At 41.0% G+C, this 24,980-nt stretch overlaps 1 protein-coding gene across 5 annotated transcripts in view; it reads left to right on the top strand.

Moving 5' to 3' along the window:
- The window catches only part of POU6F2 (POU class 6 homeobox 2), a 490,693-nt gene that overhangs the window by 210,247 nt on the left and 255,466 nt on the right, over positions 1-24,980 (top strand). For all 5 annotated transcript variants that reach the window (NM_007252.4, NM_001166018.2, NM_001370959.1 and 2 more), the window contains 2 exons: positions 16,080-16,171; positions 19,237-19,465. In NM_007252.4, the coding sequence (NP_009183.3) occupies positions 16,080-16,171; positions 19,237-19,465 (321 nt within the window). The remainder of the gene's footprint in view (positions 1-16,079; positions 16,172-19,236; positions 19,466-24,980) is intronic.

Genomic DNA, 24,980 nt, shown 5'->3' on the forward strand with positions numbered 1-24,980 from the left:
ACAATTATGATGCAGGTGCTATTATTACCTCCATTTTAGAGTTGAAGAAACTAAAGGTCAGGGAGGTTAAATAACTTATCAAAAATCACACAGGCAGTGCATGTGAAGCAAAAAGGAAAGCACAAGTCAGTCAGATTCTACATGGTGGTCAGAATCTTTTTTTAAAATTTTTTTTGAGACAGAGTCTCGCTCTGTTGCCCAGGCTGGAGTGCAGTGGCATAATCTTGGCTCACTACAACTTCCGCCTCCTGGGCTCAAATAAGTCTTATGCCTCAGCTTCCCAAGTAGCTGGGATTGCAGGTGCACACCACCACCCCTGGCTAATTTTTGCATTTTTAGTAGAAACAGGGTTTCGCCATGTTGCCCAAGCTGGTCACAAACTCCTGGCCTCAAGTAATCCACCCACCTTGGCCCCCCAAAGTGCTGGGAGTACAGGCATGAGCCACCATGCTGGGCCAGAATCTGATTTTTAGAGACTCTTTTTATCTTCTAAGGGTTCTGGTTACGGGATTATGTGAATGATCTTCCTGAATTTTGCAGAATCTAATTTTCTAAAGTCTAGGCACATCTGCCTCTGCCTCGCATTCCCTTTCTGGATAAACAACCCGTCTAAGGATATTCAGTCACATTATCCTAAGGATCCTATTACAGCAACGTGGCCCAGTTGTTCAGAATTAAGTCTAGACTGTGCTCCCTGAACTCTCCAGAGAGATGAAACTGTCAGACAGGTCAACCAGAAATTTATCAGGTATTCTGCTTTCAGCTGACATTTCCAAGAGAAGCTCTTCATTACCAAATGTATCTCCCTGTACAAAAATTGTATAATTAGCATTAGATAGCATTATCCATACCTCCCACATGGTTTGGGGTCCATCATATACTCTCAAAATGAACCTTGTACTCTTTAACTGAGAAAGAGAAGAGCAGCCCCTAACACCTAGGACCTGGCCTGGTGCTCACAACTGAGGTCTTGATATTGTCCCACTGAGCACAATTTCATAGAATATCAACATCAGATGAGGCCACAACATCAGACAAGGCCACTCTGACCAGGATGGACCATGGCAAAACCAGGTGCACTCCATTATCATGCCTGAAGACAGACAAAAAACCAACATTGTCCAAACCACAAAATGACCAAATAGTCACTCATTCTGACTGATATGAGTGCAAAGTGTTCTTTTATCAAATAGTTTGTTTTTGTGGTATTTTTTGTTTGTGTGTTTGTTTGTTTGTTTGTTTGAGACGGAGTCTCGCTCTGTCGCCAGGCCGGAGTGCAGTTGCATAGGCTGGAGTGCAGTTGCATAATCTCTGCTCACTGCAACCTCAGCCTCCCAGGTTCAAGCTATTCTCCTGCCTCAGCCTCCCGAGTAGCTGGGACTACAGGCACGTGCCACCACGCCCAGCTAATTTTTAAAGATATTTTTAGTAGAGACAGGATTTCACCATGTGGCCAGGATGGTCTTGATCTCCTGACCTCATGATCTGCCCTCCTCGGGCTTGCAAAGTGCTGGGATTACAGGTGTGAGCCACCATGCCCAGCCAAATAGTTTTAAATTGGCTTCATTTTTCCTACCTCCTGCAGAAGAATTATTATTCAGTCATAACATTGTCCCACTTTCAGAAAGCATCATCCAATCCAGAGTGAAGCTCCACTTCCTTGAACTCTTTCCAAAATCACTGAATGCAAGCCCAAATCCTATCAATCATTCCTTCTACCCCCTTCCTACTGAGATGCCCCCATGGTGTATGTATGTCGACAGGGCCTCACTCCCTCACCCAGGCTGGAGTGCAGTGGCTCGATCATAGCTCACCAAAGCCCCGACTGCCCAAGCTCAGGTGATTCTCCCACCCCAGCCTCCCGAGTAGCTGGGACTACAGGCATGTGCCACCATGCCTGACTAATTTTTTTGTGTTTTTTGTAGAGATGGGGTTTTGCCATGTTGTCCAGGCTGGTCTCAATCTCCTGAGCTCAAGCGATCCTCCTGCCTTTACCTTCCAAAGTGCTGGGATTACAGGTGTGAGCCACTGTGCCTGACCCTTCCTTTCAGTGAATCTATAAATCAGAATGTGCTCCACCACCTGGTGGTCTGTGACTAAAGTACATTGACATACCTAAATGCTCCTCATGATACACATTGATAGACTTGCATATAATACATAGATTTGTGTACAATGCAGCTTGGGATTGAAAGAGCACAAGAACTTGACCAGCCTCAGGTTTGAATCCCAACTCTTCCTTTTCCTCCTCCTCCTTTTCTTAAAAAAAAAAAAAAAAAAAAAAAAAAAAAGGTTTGAGTCAGTTACTTGAATTTTCTAACCCTTAATTCTAATATTCTAATATCATAGGTTTGTTATGAAGATTAAATGAGATCACAGATGCAGAATTTTCTAGATAGAATATTGCCAGATTCTAGGCTGATGCTCAAGGACTGGGTGTTTCTTTCCCTGATCCCTTCTTGTTTGAGTCAACTTCTTTTTTTTTTTTTTTTTTTTTTTTTTGATGGAGTCTCGCTCTGTCACCCAGGCTGGAGTGTAATAGCATGATCTCGGCTCACTGCAACCTCCAACTCCTAGGTTTAAGTGATCCTCCTGCCTCAGCCTCCTGAGTAGCTGGGATTACAGGCATGCACCACCATGCCTGGTTAATTTTTGTATTTTTAGCAGAGACGAGGTTTCACCATGTTGGTCAGGCTGGTCTCGAACTCCTGACCTCGTGATCTGCCTGCCTCAGCTCCCAAAGTGCTGGGATTACAGGCATGAACCACCACGCCCAGCTGAGTCAACTTCTTCTAATAAGGCATTTTACCCAACTGCCATACTCCAGAAAGACATTTTAACCCACCAAACCTTGAGGATCTTTAGAAATTGTACGTCAAAATCTCCAGTTTGTTCGACTTCCTATTGTCTGTGCCATAACTCACTGATATATAAAGCCCATTGACTAATGAGTACTAACGTATTTTATTCATTCTAAGATATACGGCCTTTTAACCAACACTTTAATAAGGCATCTTAAAAGGAAGATTTGGGGATGCAAATTGGGATGTGCCTTATAATTAGCGGCATGTCATGGTTTAACTGGCAGCTTTGTTTCTTTCCTTGTGGAACAAAATATTCATGAATTTTACATCAATAACATCTTGGATTTAATAAAATATGACATCTATTTTTAAACTATTGGATACTTTTTTTTATTATTTCACCTTTTCACCATTGTATTTAGGGTCATTGTCTGTGTCTTATTTCAATTCTGACCCTAAAGTTCTAAAATCAAATGTAAACTCAAGAAGTAAATTTTTTAAGAATTTGGACTGAAAACCTGTAAGTTATAATCAGAGTCCAAGTCATGGTTAGTAGGGATATTTACATAAGATGAGCTCTGACACAGACCCAAAAATAAGTTGATATAACAAATGGAAATTGCTACACAATTGATACTATCATGTAATGGTGTTAAAATAATGATAAAAAATAATCTGAACAAGTTCTGTGGAGCTTTTGTTCTATTTGACTTTAAGTGGAACATAATCTTCAGAACAAGAGGACAACAAAATAATGCTTTGCTAAAAGGATAAAAGAATATGACCTAAGTCTATTAGTAATATAACACTCTATGAATGCACTCAAGTTAATAGCATCTTTTAGCAATAGATACTTTTTCAATTATAGTAATGTGAAGAAATAGACTAAGTGAGGGAAAATGGTAAGAGACACATGAATTGGACTAATTGTTTGGCTGGTTGGTTTTTTATAACCAACTCTTGGGAAGGAAAAAAGTCTCCAACAATCTCTTGATGAGACATTAATTTGAGTTTTCATATTCTAGATCTACTTAATCTTCGTAGGAATGCAATATTTTGTTACCCCATCTTTGAAGAAGGTTTGAAACTCTTGGTAATTTGCTTGTAGTGAGTTGTGCGACATCTTTCTCTTCCTGATCAATTTTGTGGTGTTGTCTGTTATAGAAGCTCTATTACCATAAGGGTTTGCTAACTAGGTGTGATGCTACAATTTCATGCAATGTAATTCCTCTGGGGGTAGGTATTTCCTTCCTGTCCTTTACTGAGTTCTAAATGACCCTCCTTTCACCAATTTTGAGTTGCACACAAGAGTGGATTGCAAATGCTACCCTTTTGGAGTATCTGTGTAGAAATGCTGTTTTATTTCTGCTTTAAGGGATTTAAAATTTTCATTCCCCTAATTTAAAGTGGTGCTTTGGCTACTTTTGTAAAGAATGTGGTGTTCTGAGAGCAAATAACTGAAATGGATAGGCCAGACTCTTATCTTCATGGACCCTCACAAATGGAAAAGTAAAGATATGGATATGGAAGGAGAAAGTGGTCAGGAAAATTGCCATAAATAAGAGAGCAATGATATTGGGCTACATTTGGCACCAGTTTTGTTGTGTTTTAAAAAGGATAAATATGGTTCCCTTTAAGAGAATATGGGAGCAGCTCTTCCTGCTGTGAACCTCTTCCTTGGGCATCCTCCCAGCAGGTTGCATGGGGTGAGAAGTGGCCCAGGTTATTACTGTGATTGAGAGCATTCCTCCAGCACATTTTCTTTCTCCACATTCTCACGCCTCCCCCTTGACTTTTGTGGGATAGGATTTAAGAGTCTACTGCAAATGTCTGATACAAGTTAGGAGCTGTGGGTGCATTCCTGCTTTTAGTACTGCTCAAATAAAAAAGAAAGGGAGGAAGAAGGAAGGAATGAAAAAGAGAGAAAGGAAACAAGAAAGGGAGGAGTGAAGGAGAAAAGGATGGAGGAAGGAAGAGAGGAAGGACAAGGAGAAAGGGAAAGAATTATGAACTCAAACCCAGTGCTTCTTGCACTTTACCGTGGGCATTGTGCATCACCTAGGGGCTTTGTTATAATGTAGATTCTGATTTGGCGGGTCTGAGGCCTGGCTTGACTGGGACCTGAGCATCTGCCTTTCTCACAAGGTCCCAAGGGATGCCAATGCTGCTGGCCCAGGGGTCACACTTGACTATGGAGACCCTAAACTAAGAATGCAGCTGCACTTAGCTCATTATTAACATTTTTTTAAAGACGATTGCGGGGGGTGCTTATTTCTTAGGAATTTGGTCAAGTTTTCCTGGGGAAAAAAATGGGGCACAGGAAAAGGATGTCTCTGGTGGGACCCACTCTTCCCCTTCCCCCACTTCTCTGCCATTTCCCCTCCACCCACCATACTGGGAATGTAGAGTGCTCTGGGGCCAGGTTCCATTAGATGCAGAGGAAAATATCTGAAAAATGCAATTTGTATCATGATATTGGTGATTTATTGTGGTCTGTCTTTTTGAAATATTTGCATTTTATGTATAATGTAGTGTAGTCTTGAAGTCAAATGGAATTGCATTCAGATCCCAACTCTATCACTCACTAACTGTGACCACACGTGAATTACTTAACCTGTCTAAACCTTAGTTTCCACATCTGCAAAATGGGAATGATGGTCCTGATTACACAGACCTTCTGTGAAGATTTAATGAGAAAACAGATATAAAATACTGAGTATAGTGGCTGGCACATGGTAAGTATTGAGTCGATGGCAGCTATTGCAAAATGTTTGAGCAGTAGAGAAACCTAATTGGATAAAGACGTGATCCTGCCATCAGTGAGAAAGCCCGGATACACTCATCTCTCTGCTGCTTCCTCATTGTGCCAAACAGGCAGTGAGTTAATTTCTGTCTATTTATTTAGACAGTTTATACAGTTTTGTTTCCTGTATAAATGAATGGAATAATCATAAACACCTAATAGGGTTATTGTAAGAGTTGAAGAAATAATATATACAAAGTCATTAGTGTATGACCTGGCACATAGAAATGTGTATATATGAAGGAAATTATATTTTTGTCTCTTAAAAATAAGGATTAAGGGAAGAAAGGAATTCTTTATTCAAAATTATTTTGAATAAAGAGGAGTGTTGGCCACACATTCCTGTGCCTAGAAGAATAAAAGCAGTGAGCATGCTGTGATTCCTCAAATCCTACCTTGCTCACATGAAACACATGAAACTCCCAAACACTCCAAACAGACCAGGGTCCATCTACGATGAAACAGTCACTGGTCAAAAGGAAAGTGAAAAAGAAAGCAGGATGCTGCGAGTTTTTCATTAGGCTGAAATTCTTCATTTTAAAGGATTGTCTTGAGATCGAGAACACATCCTTGGGGTGGGAGAAGGGCATTAAAAATGTCTTGTTTGATCATGATAGTGAGAGGTGAAGCCAGCTGGGCTTCTGGGTCAGGTGGGGACTTGGAGAAGTTTTCTGTCTAGCTAAAGGATTGTAAATGCACCAATCAGCGCTCTGTATCTAGCTAAAGGTTTGTAAACACACCAATCAGCACTCTGTAAAAACGGAGCAATCAGCACTCTGTAAAGTGGACCAATCAGCGCTCTGTAAAGTGGACCAATCAGCGCTCTGTAAAATGGACCAATCAGCAGGATGTGGGCTGGGCCAAAGAAAGGAATAAAAGCTGGCCACCTGAGCTAGCAGTGGTAACCCACTCCGGTCCCCTTCTACGCTGTGGGATATTTGTTCTTTCGTTCTTCACAGTAACTTTTGCTGGTGCTCCCTCTTTGCTTCCGCACTACCTTTATGAGCTGTAACACTCACCGCGAAGGTCTGCAGCTTCACTCCTTAAGTCAGCGAGACCACGAACCCCCCCGGGGAGGAAGAAGCAATTCTGGACGTGCCACCTTTAAGAGCTTAACACTGTGAAGGTCTGCAGCTTCACTTCTGAAGCCGGCGAGACCAAGAACCCACCAGAAGGAGAAACTCCGGACACATCTGAAGGAACAAACTCCGCACACACCATCTTTAAGAACTGTAACACTCACCACGAGGGTCCGCGGTTTCATTCTTGAAGTCAGCCAGACCAAGAACCCAGCGGAAGGAACCAATTCTGGACACAGTAGCACATGACAATTAAAATTTTTTTCTTGGAAAAATTAAATTTCAAGATTCATATTCCTATTGTCCCAATTATTAATGTTCTCATTTAATTTGACTGCACTGTGAAATCTCAAAATCTGGGCAGGTCCACGGTCTGTGATCATTTAATCACCTGCCCTTTGCAGACACAAATGCAGCTACTGCCCAGGAAGAACCACTGTCTTCTGTGTTGAAGGTCTCTGAGGTCTTGTACCATGCATATTAGCAGAAGTGACTGCACCCAGAGGCTATCATTTTCAATTGAAATAATGGCTTATTCTGTTGTAACTCATGCTTAAATCATATTCTGCATGACAGATTAGTACCCTCCTTGCTGCTGAAGGGTTGTGCAGCGTTCAGACTTCTGGAAGGCATCTGGGGTCTTGGAGGAGAAGAGGGGAATGAGATATCACTGTCATTCTCACGATAATTTTGGTCTGAGCCAAGCGTGCGGATTCATGTCACCACAACACAGGGATCTCTGTTCAGTCCCCATCTCCTCTTTAGGCTTCGGTTTCCAGTATCCATGTGGGGCCACTTGGTTAACAGTCTCGGTGAGTAAAAACAGTTGAAAATCTCGTAAGAAGGTGTCAGATGGGGAAGTCCTGTAGGTCTGTAAGGCTGCAAAGAGAGCCTTGGAGATATTAGAACACAAATCAGAATGTTTTAGAAGTGGGCTGAAGGGTGGGATCTTGCAAAAAGAACTACAGCGTTCTCTAGCCTTGCCATTTCCACATCACAGTACTGTAATGCAGGTAGCAGGTAAGAAAACATGGACTAGCTCTCCTCACTTCGCCCACATCTCCTCACCCCCAAAACGCTCTTCTCTCTCTCTCTCCTCACCTAAGCTAGTCCCACAATTTCAAAGATTATTTAACAGCTTTGGCCATTTTTCAAGCACATTTAAAGCCAGCTCTTGGTAATTCTTGACTGTTTTACTATAGGTAGGTAAACTGAAAACAATTTAAAACTAGGCCAATTACACTGCCTTGCAGAATCTAGATCTTGTCCCCTTGTCAAGCTCCACAGTGATTCGGCGGCCAGCCAGGAGAGAAAAATCTGTGGTGGTGGTAGTGAAAGCGAAACACTGTTACAAAGGTAGATCTACAGCTGAAGAAAGGCAGGTGACACCTTTCGAATGCTTCCTTTTTTGAAGAATTCATACCTTGTCTCTCTATTATCAGCATAGATAATGAGTTAGAAAACAAAATCGTATTTTATCAATTTCCCACCAAATGATATGTTTAGGAGGTCATTCATAATGACCTGTAATAGACATGTTGATGATTTGTAGATTTGATTTCTTATTGGGGAAAAAAAGCCATGTTTAAATTCCTCTGTAGATATAAGCATTCTTAAGAATTTGCACTAATTTGGGCCGGGCGCAGTGGCTCACGCCTGTAATCCCAGCACTTTTGAGAGTCTGAGGCAGGCAGATCACCTGAGGTTAGGAGTTCCAGACCAGCCTGGCCAACATGGAAAAACACTGTCTCTACTAAAAATACAAACATTAGCCAGGTGTGGTGGTGTGTGCCTGTAATTCCAGCTACTCAGGAGGCTGAGACAGGAGAATCGCTTGAACCCAGGAGATGGAAGTTGCAGTGAGCTGAGATCAAGCCACTACACCCTAGCCTGGGCCACAGAGCGAGACTCCATCTCAAGAAAAAAAAAAAGAAAAAAGAATTTGCACTGATTTAGAAAAGCAACTTTCTTGAAGCAGTTTCAAGTGCAGGGACAATTTTCAAAATTTGAGGATCCTTTCTGAGGTTTCTTGAAGGAAAACTAGTAACCCAAAATTGTATGGAAACCGAGTCAGTGGAATCGGCAGCGAGCTATGGGGAGGGCCCCTTTCACGAGCAGGTGATGGCTGCAGTCTCACAGAGCCCGGCAGCCCCCAGAACCCCATGGCTGGGATTTAATGCCCTGAGGTCACCATCCTGAATTTCTTTAGAATTTGTCTGTGAATTTGTGTTTTATGAGTAAAGTCCAATGGGACATCTGAGCGTGTAGGAGGGTGGAGGGGGCTTAGAGTTTCCTCACCTCCCCAGGACAGGACGGGCTCTGGCTGCCCACTCTCTGCCCCTGGAAGCCTCAGTGTGGCTGTCACATGCTCCACTCTGCCCTTCTCAGGGGGCTTGGGCTCAGGTGAGGGGAAGGTCATATGCTCAGCATGCAACTCCTCAAGGGTCTTCCTGTCCAACCCGATCCAGGTCTCCAACACATCCCAGCCGGAAGGTTACAATCCCTTGGGTTCGCCCATGTGCGATAGGTTGGGGTGGTGCCTTGGGGAAGGAGGGATTGATTTACCAGCCGCAGGCCAGGACCTGCGTTTGTAATTTGCACTGATCCCCACAAATTATTTAACCCCATTGGCACAGGGTTGAGCAAGGACGAAGCAAGAGGGAGGCTGCTTAGATGGGCATGAAAGCCCAGAACATGTGTGGCTGCACCATCTGTGGATTCCAGAGCCCAGCTATCAGTTGTAAGGAGACTATCCAGGGATGGAGCGCAGTGTTGAGGGTGCCTCCTAGCAATGACCTTGTCAGAGCAAGTGTGCATTTCCTGGGAGAACTGTGTTGAAATGAGCAAGGCTTCTTAGACTTAAAAAGGCATTTTAAAAATCAGACAAACTATTTTTGAATGCTCTAAAATCTGTGTCTGACTTCGTTCCGCTGATTCTGACACACACCTCTATCATTTTAAGGATTTGAACTCACTGTGATGTACCTCAACACCACCATACACACATACATATAGAGATACATACATATGTATATTCTTACATATGAAGGCCTGGAGCTGGCCTGTGGGAGATACAAAATGAGTTAGAGACTTTTCCCTGAAAGAACTTACACTCTTGTAGAGATAGCAGTACTCAAGGAATAATTTCTACTCCCAAAGTTCTCTAACTGCCTAAAGTATGTCATGGAATTTTGCCAAAATACATTTGATGACTATCTCCTTTTTTCCTGTCTCTCTGAGAAAAAGTATTTACAGAAAATGAGACCTTTATTGGGCTGGATATCACAGGAGTTTCGCTCTGCTTTTATTAGATAGATGTGAAAACAAATGATAAAAAATTATTGGAGGAAGACTGAGGGATGTTTAGTAAATTTTGAAGAAAAAAGTCATTAAAGTCTTCTATAGCACAGACTAAATCTACCTATAAAAAATGAAGCAATTATTGAGGAATTTTGGCAGAAAGTACAAAAACATCTTCAGTCCAAATAAGAGATTTGTAGAATTTCTTTTTGTAGTTTATCTAACTGTCCCAAATCTCCCTTTGGCTTTTCATGTGTAGATGCAGCCTTAAAATAAAGATTTAGAACCACTTAGGACCTAGACCCCTCACCCAAAGAAAGCTGGACTTCCTTCTGCTGGAGCCAGATAAGTCACTCACTGTAAGAATAAAGAAATGCATTTTTCATATTAATGTAATCAGACAGTCTTGGTTCTCCAGGTCTCAATAGGTGAATTTACAAGTACCTGACAATGTAATTTGCAAAAACGTACAAACCATTTTGTGGATTAATGAATGTTTGATTTCCAAGCATGGCTTGTAGAATTAGCCTTAGAGTCTCAGATTCTACTAAGGGTCTCTACAGTGTTCTGTACATAAATACCTGTGTGACCAGTATCATAAAGAAATTCTAACTGGCAATAAAAAGTGGCAAACAGTGGCAGTAGCTCAGCAGAGATTTTTATAGACACCTCCACTCCCTCCTTGGCATTTAGTAATCTTGAAAAAATTGAAAGGAAGAAAAGTTTAATTTAGAGGGGACTTTTGCTCTGCTTAGCTGGGATTCTCACACCCAACATGAAATAATAATGCATCCAACTGTCCGTCTTAGAATAAGTAACCTTTGTGTCACCTCCTTCACTGGTGGAAACTGCAAACAGTCGGTGAGAAAGGTATGAATACCAGAGAAAGCTGAGGGATCTCTGTGACCTTCATGTGATTATGTTTGTGCTAATGCAGAGAGCACAGAAACCCAAACTCTCTATCCAAAGAACCCAATTCATAAAAAATGCATTGGTCATTAACCAGGGAATCTTAAGCACTGTACTTTGGAGGGATCGCTGACACATGGGAGGAAGTGGAGTTGTTTTGCTTGGGATGAGCAATTCGTATTTGCAGTTCTGTTCCTTTCTCAATCTGCCCTGGCCGTCATATCCTCTTTGCAAAGGGTAAGGCTCCAGAAAGGAGTATATACTCTCGGGATTAAAAAGAGTATATGTGTTTCTTAAAATGACTTACTTGGAAGAGTCAACTCCAAAAAGAGGGAACAATTCAAAACTCTGTGCAAGAGTGAACATCTATTTTACTTTTAGTGTAGCTAAGAGATGCTGAGACTGGTTTCCCTTGGTGAATGAAAATCTGTTGTACCAATTTTTTTTTAAAAGAATTGGAAAACAAAAATGAACTTGCTATGAGGAGTGCGGTGACAGTTATTGGTGACGGTTCTTCAGGGACTCAGCTTGAGCTGGGTGGAGAGAATGGAGTGTGGGAGGCTTGGTCCTCAGGAGGGCACTGAAGAAAGGAGTGTCGTGCTCAGGTGGTCACCCCCTCACCTCTGTGGGTCACAGTCCCTTCAGAGCAGAGGGATCTGCAGGCACCCTGTGGGTTTCAGATGTGAGATCAACCCTGGGACCAATGGTGTTGAGTGAACAAATGCCCTCTGACAACCAGGTCTTATAACAATTAATAATAAGTTGTATCCAAGTGTACCATCCAAACTCCTAATCAGTATTTTGATGTCTTCACCATTTATGACCTATCATTTCCATAATAGATTCAAAACAGGGTTTCTTGTATTTGCAGAGAATTAACTTCTATTATGTAGCTATTTTAAATTTTATATTATGATCCCTTTAAAATCAGTTATTATATTTTTAAAATTACCTGTGAACAAATCACAATTACAAAACAGATGTATCTGAGATGATTCCTCCCTTGCTAAGCTAGAAGTCAGTCAGGATTATGATGAAAGAATGGTGCAGATAAAGAAGCTTGGAAGGCCAAGGGGATTACACTAGCTGCAGACCCATCTGCCATTCAGAAAACGGATTGCATATGGCAGTCTTAGCGCAAAGGAGATTCAGCCTTGCCTGGGTAACGTCTAAGCCACTGCTGGCTCCCTGTGGTCTTCAGTCACAGGTAGAGTTTCATAAAACATTCACGTGAGCTACGCTTTAGATGCTCTGTCAGTAGCCTCATGAGGGATATCAACCTCTGTGTTCAGGAAGCTCCACAAATGATTCGCAGGCCTGGGTGAAAACCACTTCTATAAGCCATGGTATATGTAAAAATTTGGAAACTTTGCCACTATCTTTGTGCCATATTTCCTGATTATGCTACCATGGACTAAAGGAAGCAACTCTATATGTAAACATCTTGCTTTGTAGGCTCTTCAGGACCCAACTATTTAGTCGAGTTCCAAACGTTCATCCAGTGGTGCCAAGGACAGAGTTAGAGTCAGCGCACAGTGGCCACCTTTAGTCAGTGTGCAAGAGAATGTAAATTCCACACAAAGGGACAGAGGGGCAGGAATATGAATTGAGTTGACTTGGGGCAGGTCACTATTATAGACAAATAATATTAAATATTATTAGATTAAATACAATTTAGGCTGGGCATTGTGGCTCATGCCTAAAATCCCAGCACTTTGGGAGGCTAATGTGGGAGGATCACTTGAGGCCAGGAGTTCAAGACCAGTATGGGCAATGGAGTGAGATGATTTCTGTACCAACAAGAAAAAAAGAAAAAAAAAGAAAAAATTAGCTGGGTGTAGTGGCTCGCTCCTGTAGTCTCAGCTACTCAGAAGGCTGAAGCAGGAGGATTGCTTGAGCCCAGGAGATCAAGGTTGCAGTGAGCAATGGTCACACCACTGCACTCTCGCTGGAGCAACAGAGTGAGATACTGTCTCTCTCAAAAAAAAATACAAATTAAATATTTTCATTAAATAATAATAATCAAGAGAAATAGCACTTATATGGCAAGCATGCGCTGTTTCATGAAAGTTACATACATATTAGTTCATTTAATCTTCACAACAGCAATGCTGTGAGAGGGGTACTGTTGTTATCCCTGACTTTTACAACGTGATGCATGAAGTTGGAAAACAAGCCAGAGTTCACATTCTCAGTTAAGTGGTAGTGCTAAATTTAAACCCAGGCAGAGTTTAAATTTTTTTAGAGTTCTTGGTTTTAACTCTTACACCAAACGGCTTTTAATATCTAAATTGGAATCGAGGTGGAATTTGCCAATAAGCTAATAATTTAAAGATATTTCAAAGGTTTATGTTAAACAACAGTGAGTAGTCACGTGGATGCCAGTACCTATCTTAAAGGAATTATATCACTGCTGAATTAAAAGCCAGACCCCTATTTCTATTGAAAAAGAAATGTGAATGAAATGACAGCATAAAGTGATGAACCAGCAGCACAGCCCCTGTCCCATAGAGCTCATAGTTGCTGCCTCAAAAGCATAGGCTGCTAACTTCAGAACAGACTTCAGAGAGCTTTCCTGGAATTCCTTGGTCTCAGAGATGTAACATGTTTCCTAGGCTCCTGGTCAGGAGGAACCCACCCAACCCATTCAAGTTTGTGTTTTCATATCTGTGCCCATGAAAATATCCAATGTCAAATTCTCTGCAAACGTTCAGCTAAGTGTTGCTTCAAATCTCTCTGAAACCCTTAGCCAACGCCATTTATTCATTCTGACTTCCTGATTCCCCCTCTGGCTCTGAGAAGGCCCCTGATTCCAGAGCCGCCTTCCAACCAGACGGATTAGTTTATGGTCCTGCAAGGTTATGCGTGATACATCTGTTTGGGGAAAATGGGGATGCACACTAAGAAGAAACATTACTTTTGGATCCAGGCAGGAGAGCATACATAATCTCCTCTAGAGCCTGTGAAAGACTTCATTTTACACATGAAATTGTGTGGAATTGCCCTGGACTGCACTGAACGTGGTTTTTGAGAATTAACCAGCCTCAGAACAAGCTACTGAGCACCAGCTAGGCCTCAAAGCAACAAAGAATAAATGTAAGCAAATGTAATCTGTGTAAAGTTGAGGGGAACAAATGCACAATCTTGTTGACACAGTGCCTGTGTGAGACCAATCCTAAACATTACAATGGCATGCATTAGAAACAGAGTCAAAAAGTGGGCTTGGTATGCATGAAAGAAAAAAGAGACAGAAGGGCTTGGCATGGTATAGAAATTTTTTAGAATGCAGGTATTCATTTTCTAATTGCTTAAAAGGGCTTTTCTATTTTTCTGTGCATTGTAAAAACACTCTTTTCATAGTCTGGTATAAAAACCCATGCCTGGCAAGTATGGGAAAACAACCAAATTTTTAAAAAATTGTGCATTTTTAGCCATTTGAGAATTTGCCTAATCTGAATATTTGACCAAAACATCACTTTGAAACCTCATAAGCTCTTTGAAGTACATAAATTTCTGCTGAGAATTTTAGGGCAAAATTGGACTTGGGTATATAAGAAAGAACAGAGACTTGCAAGGTTTGCACTGCACAAGCCATCTCCCAGCTTCAAATGCCGTGCTTTTAAGCATAATAGGTAAATCACATCTAAAAAATTTAGAAGAAAGGTCTTCTGCACATTATGAGGAAGTGGTTGGCATCTTATGATGGGTCATCTTACCCTTGTTATTAAATGACAGCAATCATTAAAATGCCAAACATATTTTGTCAGAATTCACTTTATAAAATGTCAGCAAGTCTGTGTTTTTATTAGTTTGTTCCAAATCAATTTAGAAATTTCAATAGAATGCTTGTAAGTATTCTCCAAGCAATGTCCATTCCTGACTTTCTGCACAAAAAATATTACAAATTAATCAGATTTTCAGATTTCTGCATAATGGCTTTGCACATTTATTGCTTAATCCTATTATAAAATGCTGTTATGATTGACACATTGTGGTAGAGATAGAAGTCAATTGAATAATATGTAGCAGTCAATTTTATTTGTAGCTTAATGTGCTGAAGTATTTTCCCCCATTTCCATTATTTATAAGTCTGTCCCTTTGGAGAATATATAGGAGAATTTGTTTTAAATGAGCCAATAATACCTTCTTTAAAATTTATAAGTGTGACAGAGTCATATCTTTTTTTCTGGGTTGTCCATGGCATGCCGGTAAACAGGGTTTGAATTGTCTTCCACTTGTTATTCATAGGACAAACATCAGGAAAAAGGATCTTGTTAAGGTTTGCTTGGAATTGGATTTCAACCACCCATTAGAAAACTCCAAGGAAACAAAGCTACCAAGTAGAAATTCTCAAAAATTGCCACTGGTTTTATTTGTTTTGTTTGTTTGTTTGTGTATCTATTGTTTCTACCACTATCTTACCTGCTATAGTTTGTCCTGAAACAAAGCACAGAAACACACGTAGAGAAATGACCATGATAAAAGGGTTTGAAGGATTTGCTCTTTGGTGGAATTTCATTTTTTCTGCTTTGCTGTCCAGTAGGATTCTGGTAAAGGAAGCAAGTTGTGTTCTGTGCTTAGCATGGCGGAGCTCCCTGGAGCTATTGCGGGATTCCTACTGTTTCAATTAGCACCTGGGACACTTGCTTGGGGAGAGCCATATTCTTTTTAGAACATTTTATAAGGTGATATGGAAAAAGGCTTTGTTTTCAGGAAAGCGATGTCATAAGATTCAGTGTTCAAAGAGTACGGAATAAGAACTTGGGAGTATGAAGGAGATGGGGAAAGCCATATTAGGGAATATGAAGGAGATGGGGAAAGCCATATTAGGGGAAATATTGATAGACTTGGTCATATCTGAGATCACATTTTGTTTAATTTTAGGAAACTAGATTAGCTGTGGCTCGCCTGTACTTAAAGGTTGCAGCTTCCCACACATACAACACACTGGCATACTCTATGCAAACTGACTGTGCTACATTCCCTGCTGTTCTATTCTTCTACCTCTTGATGAACTTGGCCATCCTGAATGTCTCTCATCATTATGTATGCAGTTGATAAGTGATTTGAGCACTGGAGATATTGATAAACCACTCTGTCATATCATCTATGCCTTAATGTTATGTGACATCAGTTCCCAAGCTGGATCATATATTAAGGGAGTATTTCTCTTTTGAATTCCAGGGGCTAGAGGAAACCCAGCATTATCAGACCCAGGCACTCCTGACCAACACCAGGCCAGTCAGACCCACCCCCCATTTCCAGTTGGGCCACAGGTCAGTATCTCTCAACTGCTTTCCACTGGGCTGCATTTAGGATGGTTTAACCATATAAATCACCAAATAAATAATAATGAGTTAAATCCAATTGACTCCAACAGAGCAAAGATGGTAATAAATTTTCGTATGAAAAGCTGTATGACTACATTATTTATTAAATACCACCAAGAAAATATGTGTTTGCAAAACTCTTCTCTCTTCTTAAAGGAAAGGTTGGCTTTAATCATGTGGAAACACTTTTTTTTTTTTATCTTAAAACCCACTACAATTGTGCTGTTGGTTACCGTGCAGTTTCCTGGAAAGTAAAACTTTAATGACTGGAGTGTGAAGAAAATTAAGTTATTTCAACCTTACTATAGCCATTTTTGAAATAGAAGATGTGATTTAATATAAAAAAGTTAATGCAATTTTAATGCAAGTTCAGCTTATTGGGTTTGACAATACTGTACATCACACATAGCTCTTGCATTAATAAAGAAATACAATCATTATTTTTTAAAGTCCAATATTTGTTTTTTGCAGCCTGGTGTGGGCTATATGGAGATGTAGAACACAATTATAAAAGGCTGGGCTTTTTTTTTTTTTTTTCCTTTTTACCTCTATCATTTAGTGTGAAGCTTTCAGAGTTCATCCTGCTTTTTTGGAAAGAGAAGCTGAGACTTGGGCCTTTCTCTCCCTTTTATTGTCATTATTGCTCCTGGAAGTTAATGACTTTAAGCACATTGAGGGCTCACCCAAGTTTAGAGTGAGGGTTGGCCTTGACATTCTTATTCCACTCGCCACCAAGACTCCCTATGGCCTCAGATCCCGTAGTCCATCTCGGAGGACAGATCACTCTGTGCCTGTGGACAGAAAGCCTGGGGAAATGTCTGCTGGCTTATGGAAGCCTAGAGAGTTTTCCTGGGACTCTCAGGAACAGGATTTTTGGTGTCATACGCTTTATAATTTTATGCTTGTAACATTGTGTGTGTGTTCATGTAATTATGTGTGTCTGTGTGTGTGTATGTCTGCACACCTGCCTGTGAACATACTGGGGGTAACACACTCTAATGCCTTCAGGTTGGGTAGGCAGCCCCACAGGCCCAGGTCAGTGAGGAGTGGTGGCCCTCCGACAAACTGGAGAGTGCATGCCCTGCCTTGAGCCCACAAATCCTATTTTTAAAATGCTGCAGGCCAAAACCCCCAAATCTATGACCCATATATGGTCTGAGAGCTACTTATTTGCCTTCCCTCTTACCATAATATCACTATTGGCAGTGATGTAACACCTGGAATCTGAGGGCCAGCATATAATTTTGTATACATTCCCGAAGTATATTTATTTTGCTCATTAGAATAACTGTATTTTTTTAAAAAGGGAAGCACAGTTACTTGGTGTGAATTTAGCAAAGTGCACAAATACATTAGGAGCAAGGCCTGTGGGGTCTAAAGCAGCAGTTCTAAACTCAGCTGTGCAGAATCCTAGGGCTCTGCAGAGTCTCCCCCAAAGGGTCCTGAAAGGAACACTGCAGGGAATGGCCAAGTATGGGCTTAGCCCTCTCCACACCTCCCCTCATTCTTCAGATAAAGCAGCCCCACTTCTCTAAATCTGTTCTTTGTATTGGAGGGGATACAAGAAAGGGGTAAAACATGGGCTGTGGAGCAGCCTTCCTGGGCTTGAACTTGAACCCCCTCTCAACTAGACATGGGACTTGGGCAAGTTACTAACCTCTCTGTATCTCATTGGTAGATTAACTACAGCATTAGAATAGTGCCTGGCTATTATACATTGAGCTTAGTAGTATGCCTGTATTTAATTTCCTACCCCTCACATAAGAGTTTTGCATTGGTTCTTGTAGAAGAACAACAGATACAGGATTATTATGTTCCACATGGCTCCCACAAGGCTGCAATGAAAGTCCTGAATCAAGGACTCTAAGATCAAATGACTCTTGTGGTCATCTGGCTTGACCAGGGCAGGAATCCTTCCCATGTCATCCTGGTGAAGAGCCCACGTGCTGCACTCAAAACATGCCGAGCAGTTGCCTTTCCCTACCAGAGAAGGGCTGTTCCATCCATAGTGGATGTAAACATGTGTTTGTATAATATCATTTTAATTGGGCAAATGATGTTAGAGTAATAACAAAAGAATTATTTTCAAAGATTTTAAGTTTTATCCACATCAAATATTTTTATGTCTTACATTCTGTTTTAGATCTTGTCATTGTACATACATAATTCTACCATTTTAACAATAATCATTCAAGTTTACTTAATAGTTATCCAGCTTACTTTCTATTTTATTCTCATATTATAAACATTTTCTATTTTTCTAAAGAGGTGTCATAATGATCCATTTTAATGACTATGCAATATTTCATCTAGTTTAGTACTGTAATAAGCTATTTTCAATATTTATGTATTTTGAAACAATACATGTTTTTATGCAGTTATCTTATTTCCTTTTGAATAATATCTTCAAGCTATATCCTAGGAGTATATTCTGAGTTAAAGGGGGATAAATATTTTTGCAGCTCTTGATAATCTATTTCTAAATTGCTTTCCAAAAGGATTATGCTAGTGTACATGTCCCCCAGCCATAGATCTGCATAATGGTGTCAATACAGACTTTCCAGCATTGAGTAAATTTTCTACATTATTTTTGTTAATTTAAAAGTCAAAAGTAGTATTTCGTTGCTCTTTTTGAATCAAAAAATCCCACTGATCCCAATGAGTTCTTTCTGGAACAACAGAGAATAAATTAGCTGAGAGCTTCAAATATATGAAGATAGGATCAAATGGAAACTCAATGGAAGAGTAGCATATAAACGTAAGTTATTACTTGTAAAGATATTTGAGTTCCTCACAAGAAGTCCAAACCAAATGAAATTTTCCAAAGAAATCAATGAAATGCAACTTTGAAAATTTTTTTCTACCAATCATTTTTTTTTAATGAGATAGGGCATGTTTTTTGGTACTTCTTCGGGAACTTTCTGACCCTACTTAAGTGGAAAGAAGATGTTTTTAAAACCCATGCCTTGGTTCCACAGGAAAGTGAGCTAGCTGTATCTGTTTCCTTGCAGCCACTTCTGACGGCACAGCAGTTAGCTTCTGCTGTGGCCGGCGTGATGCCGGGAGGCCCCCCAGCCCTCAACCAGCCAATCCTCATTCCCTTCAACATGGCGGGACAGCTAGGAGGCCAGCAAGGACTGGTTCTCACACTGCCAACAGCGAATCTCACCAACATCCAAGGGCTGGTGGCAGCAGCTGCAGCCGGAGGCATTATGACTCTGCCACTGCAAAATCTACAAGGTAATCCATAATGTCCATGCGCCACGTAAGGCTCTACCCGTTGGCCAGTATTCTCTGAAGTGGGCAAAAAAAAATGTGCCTAGAATGGTGAATGTGGTTCAGAGTTGCTTCTGCCCTAAATGATATGGAAGGCTTCCACAGGAAGCAAAATTTTCAGTTGTCTGTGAATCCTGAGCCTGCACAAGCCATTGGTTTTATCAATCCTCATTTCCTAACATTGGTATCAAAACTTTTCAGGACTCCTGGAAGCATTTATGAGTCATCATTGCATGACATATCAGAAACTTAAAAGTAAAATTCCTGTGTTGTTATTTGAAGACCTGAGTTATCATCTCACCAATTCTTCAATTTAGCCATGGGTAAAGAAAAGTTAGAGGTTGCTTTTTTGTGTTTGAAGTGATTGGAACATCTCAAATACAAGATATTATTTGGAATAATTTATTAATGATTATTTTGCTCTACAAAGTATGTTTTAGTTATAGTTATTAAACAAAAATTGTGTTATTTGAGCTCATATTTTGCAATGAGAAAAATAGACTTGTATGTTGAGCCTTTATACTACAGGGACATATAACAAGTCAGACTCTAATTTTACTTAGGAAGGGTAGTTGTCTTGATATTATGAAGGTTTTGACTTTTCTTTAAAAGATTTGGTAGCATTGACTGATAGATTGATTTACAAAAGATTCTGTCAGAGGAGTAATTATTTTGGTGGAAAATGACCTGAATATAAATAGGATGCCTGCTAAAGAGAAAATGAATTTATTTTGGACTAGTCAAAGATGTTTGTTTTCTTCATATATATATAAAATTAACAATTAAAATTTTTGCAGAATGAGGGCCTGTCTGGGTAAGTTATCAGAATAGCAATTTAAAATACTTTTTTAGCTGGTCAAATGTTAGGGCTTCATATAATTTATCGGAGAATCAGTCCACAAGACTAAGAAACAGACCAAGTAAGAACTGTTCACTCTTGACCCAAACTTCTTTCCGTTCTCTATGTTCTGTTACCCCACCCATTGTTGCCACTTCTTGACTTCCATTTTGATGTTTAAAACGAAGTCTCTCTTGTACCATTAAATTGTGCCAAGAAACCTGCCATTCATAAATCATGCATGCCCAGGATACGCTAATGCACAAACTTTGCTTGTTTCAAATTTGAGAGTGCCTGGGAAGCCAGATCTCAAGATTAAGCAAATAAAGCAGGAATACACAAGGTGAAAGCCGAAGCAACAAAGTGTAGGGAGAGGCGTTTTAATGTAGGTGGATGATGAAATCTTAATGAAGAAATGGGCATTATCAAAATGCAGCCTTCCGTTTGGAACATTTGTGCTTATGGGAATATTGAATATTATAAATAAACATAAGCTCAAAGAGCTCCTAGGCCATGAATTAATCCTGCTTGGTTAAGATGGTTGCCAAAAATCAGAGTTTAAAAAAAAAGTAGGCTTGTTATTTCTTGATCATAGTTTGATATTCTTAAGATATTAGTACCTGTTTTTTTAAGGGTTCAAAATTAATGATTGGTCCAACGTGGACTTCTTCCACCAAGATTTTCCCTTTTGTTTTTGTTTGTTGTAAATATCAAAGTTCATTATTAGCGTATAGTTTGGAGTTTGGTTCTTTGAGTCACCTCTGGTTTCAGAAAAGGAATCCCAAGCTTTGTAGCCTGATTAAGTAGGGGAAACAAAAGTTCTTGCTTTTCTTATCCCTGGGCACTTCTGACACAATTTCCCTCTCAGCATCATCTTCAGAAGTGGGTTGGAGTTGACGCCCAAGCTCTTGTCTGCTACACAAGCACAAGTGAACATTTCCCCCTTTGTCTTCCTCTTTGAAATTTGACTGACGTTGGAGGGAAGGTGATGAGGTTATTAGAATAAATCACCTCCCAGTTGCAAATCAGCTGGTTATAGGAAAAGCTTTCTAATTAGTATAAGTCTCAGGTAACCCAGAAAGAGGTGGTCATCCTAACGAGAAGTTCAAGGGCAATAAGGATGGTAATCAGGAAAGTCTCATGCCTCAAAAGTGCCCAAGATAAATGTCCACCACCTAAAGGGCAAAGCCAGTGGTCACCTTGTAATCAATCCACCAGCAGCCATCCCAAAGCTGATTTTCCCACCTTTAGGCGACCTATTGCACAGCCCTTGATAATCCCTAGGCAGAATCAATGGCTTGTGGAGCTTTCCAGGTTATGTTGCAGAAGCAGTGGGACTCGGGATGGTGAGTGAATGTCTGACAGGCTGAAAGGTCATCTGCAGGGGTTCTGAGACTGAGCTAGTCTTCAGGATGACCTCAAATCTCATCCTCTCTCAAAGGTGAGAGTTAAGGGTGAGAGTCTTGTAAATGGACTATCAGTACCTTAGAAGGAATCCTTACATGCATTCATGCAGTCAACAGCGAGGGGAGAAGGCTGTTTCCTTTCCCCCATCTCTTTCCTGTACAATAAATACAGTATTTATCAACCCAAGGCTTTTCAGAGTCTTTAAAAACAACTCTTAAGTCTGCTCGTCTATAATAAACACCCCACTTCTCCAGTGATTTTATAAAACATATTTGGTGGGTCATTGTGAGGGGCAGGTTTCATACCTAGTCTGCACACCTAGTCTGAAGCACAGCCTGTTACCATGTAACATGCTTGGTCATGAATAGTGCCCTTTTCCTCATTGTGAAGTGTTAAGCTTTTATTCATGAAACAGTTCGGCCAACTGGAATTATCTCCAGCCTTCCTACCCAGCCCTCTAGCCTGTCTATTCTTCTAGCTCAAAAGTCACAAATTTGCTAGGATGAAAGGAAAAAAAAAAGTTGCTGACATCAGTCTCTTAATGGTTTGGAATTCAGGGATAAGTTTTCAAATATTTTCCTTTTTACTGAAGTGATTGAGAGCGTGTTCATTTACATCCCCTATCAAGTCACACAGAATAGCTCTCAGAGCCTTGGAGGCCATGATTTACACATGTATTTTAATGAGCACTCATGACATGCTGTTACACTGAGAGCAGCTCTTCTCGACTCTGACAGCGGGGGTCATATCACAATCTCCTCTTAAAACATGGTCCCCAGACCAGCGGCATCAATGTCTCCTGGGAGCTTGCTGGAAATACAGGATCTCAGGCTCTACCCGAGATACCCAAGACTCTCGGAACAGAATCTGCATTTTTAAAAGATCCCCAGATAATCCCCATGCACATTAAAGTTTAAGAAATGCTGATCTAGGGAGATTATTCAAAGTTCATTAGGCAACTCCCTGCCTTAGTCTGTTTGGGCTGCTATAACATAAAAACCATAGGTAGGGTGGTTTATAAACAACAGATTGTATTCCTCACAGTGCTGCAGCCTGGGAAGTCCAGGATCAAGGCACAGGCAGATTTGGTTCTGGTGAAGGCCCACTTCCTGGTTCATAGATGTCTGTCTTTTTACTGTGTCCTCCCACCACAGAAGGTATGAGAGAACTCTCAGGGTTCCTTTTATAAAGGCACTAATTTCGTCATGAGGGCTCCACCCTTATGACCTAATCAACTCCCAGAGGCCTCACCTGCTGATACCATCACCTTGGGGGTTAGGATTTCAACATAAAAACTTGGTGGGTTGGGAGGAACAAACACCCAGTCCATGGCATCCCCCAATATCACCAGCAGCCAGAATCAGAGACTCTTATGACAATGGATGACCCACATGAAGGCAGTGAATGTCCTTATTAATGCTCCCGCTCTCACTCACCACCCCAGGCCTCCAGATGAGAATGACAGAAAGGAATAATGTGTGGGAACGTTTTTGCTTCTGTTAGGAGTTTCATATCCTCAAGACCAAGGGAAGTTCTCTTACATAGTGGAAGCCCTCTTGAAGTCCTTGCTCTGAGATTTTATCCAATGAAAGTTTTGCTTTGCTGATAAAAAGACCTTATAACTCAGCAGAAAACCTGTATGTGTGGCCTGGGAATTATTTTATCTTTCTCTCAGATCCTTCCCAGCAAGAAAGAGATTGATTCCTGTCTCATCAGTGATGAGTTCTTATTGTAAGAAGATACACAGTTGTAAGGAGTTAGACATCTTGCAGGATCCTAGGAACAGCCCTGTAACCCAGCCTCATTGGAACCTGGAATGAATTTGGGCATTAGAGCATCCAGCAAACCACAAGGCTGCAGGCTGTATCATCCTCTCCTCTGCAGGAGGCAGGCATCTAATCCCCACACCCAGAATGACTAATGACCCATCTCCCTGTCTTCTCCTGCGCCCTCCAGGACGTTTCTCTACTGCATTGGATGGCTTTTGGCTGAACCATGATTCCGGTTCACTCATGTTCCATTTTGTCTCCTCTAAGGTCAGGCATCTTTCCAATTCATGTACCTGTCAGGAACTCTCCATTTTTCTCTGTCTCCATCATCTTTATCCTTATCTCCATGTCTGTCTAAAATTCTGACTATCCAAGAGAGAAATTACCATGAGGCTGAGCCTTTTAATTTAAGCTATCTCATGTCACTGGCCAGACTGGAGATTGACTGCCCCCAGACTGAGATGTTCGTTTCTGTCCTCTTGGCTATGATGTGGGTGGGAAGTGGGAAGCCAGAATGATGTGGTATGGAACATGGACAAGCGAGCTTAAGAAACAAGCTGAGCCTCTCTCATCAGCAGAAGGGGTGGCAGGTAAGGCAGGCTGGACATTGGCCTTTCTCTTGGGAACAGTAAAAGCCAGTAGGGCCTCTTATGAGCAAGGACTGAAACAAATTCTGAGCTCAGGAGATGCCAATGGTGAGGTTTAGGTTCTGAGTGTTTTGAACGAAGACCTTGGAAGCTCTGGGTGGGATTCAGAAATGCTCTACTCAGAGCATTCAGATGAGATCTAGAAATGACCTCCTCCTCAAAGCCCTGTGTCCCTATGTGAAATAAGTGAGTTCTGTGCCCTCTCGTACCTTGCCTTGAGTGCCCCTTTCCCCTTCCAAGTACCATCCATCATCAGCTACACTGGGTCTCTCCATCCCTGCGTCCTTTATCCCATGTTTATTGGGCTTTGGCCTCTGATGACTGTAAGCAAGCACACACCTGTGAAATAAGACGAATAATAGCCATAAACTCCAAAGAAAGAAGATAATTAAGCTTGCTCTGTCACATATTCCATAAGCTCCTTGAAAAGTCAGTGTCTTCCCTTTTACTATTACTTTGGAACACAGATAGCTGTACTAAAGATGTGCAGTCCTAGGGTAAAAACAGAGGTTGTTAGTTGATGTAGCAAAATAAAATCCCCTTTATGGAGCTCATGCAAATGTGTTGGATCCTTTGCTTTTTTGAAACATAGGCAGGAAATGAAGATATATACAGCCTCGATGTGAGTGACAACAGGCAGCAAAAGGGTTAATGGAACGGTAGAGCTGAGTCTACTTCTGGGACAGATGGTTCAGGTTAGTGACTTGTTCTCACAGCACAGGCCAGAATGACCTACTAATCACTGTAGGCAACATGAATGGAGAATATAAATGTGCTACATAGGAGATTTATGTCAAAGTGTGAACATTCCAGTTAAG

This window comes from Homo sapiens, chromosome 7 (genome assembly GCF_000001405.40).
Source record: "Homo sapiens chromosome 7, GRCh38.p14 Primary Assembly".
In the NCBI taxonomy this organism is placed as follows: Eukaryota; Metazoa; Chordata; class Mammalia; order Primates; family Hominidae; genus Homo; species Homo sapiens.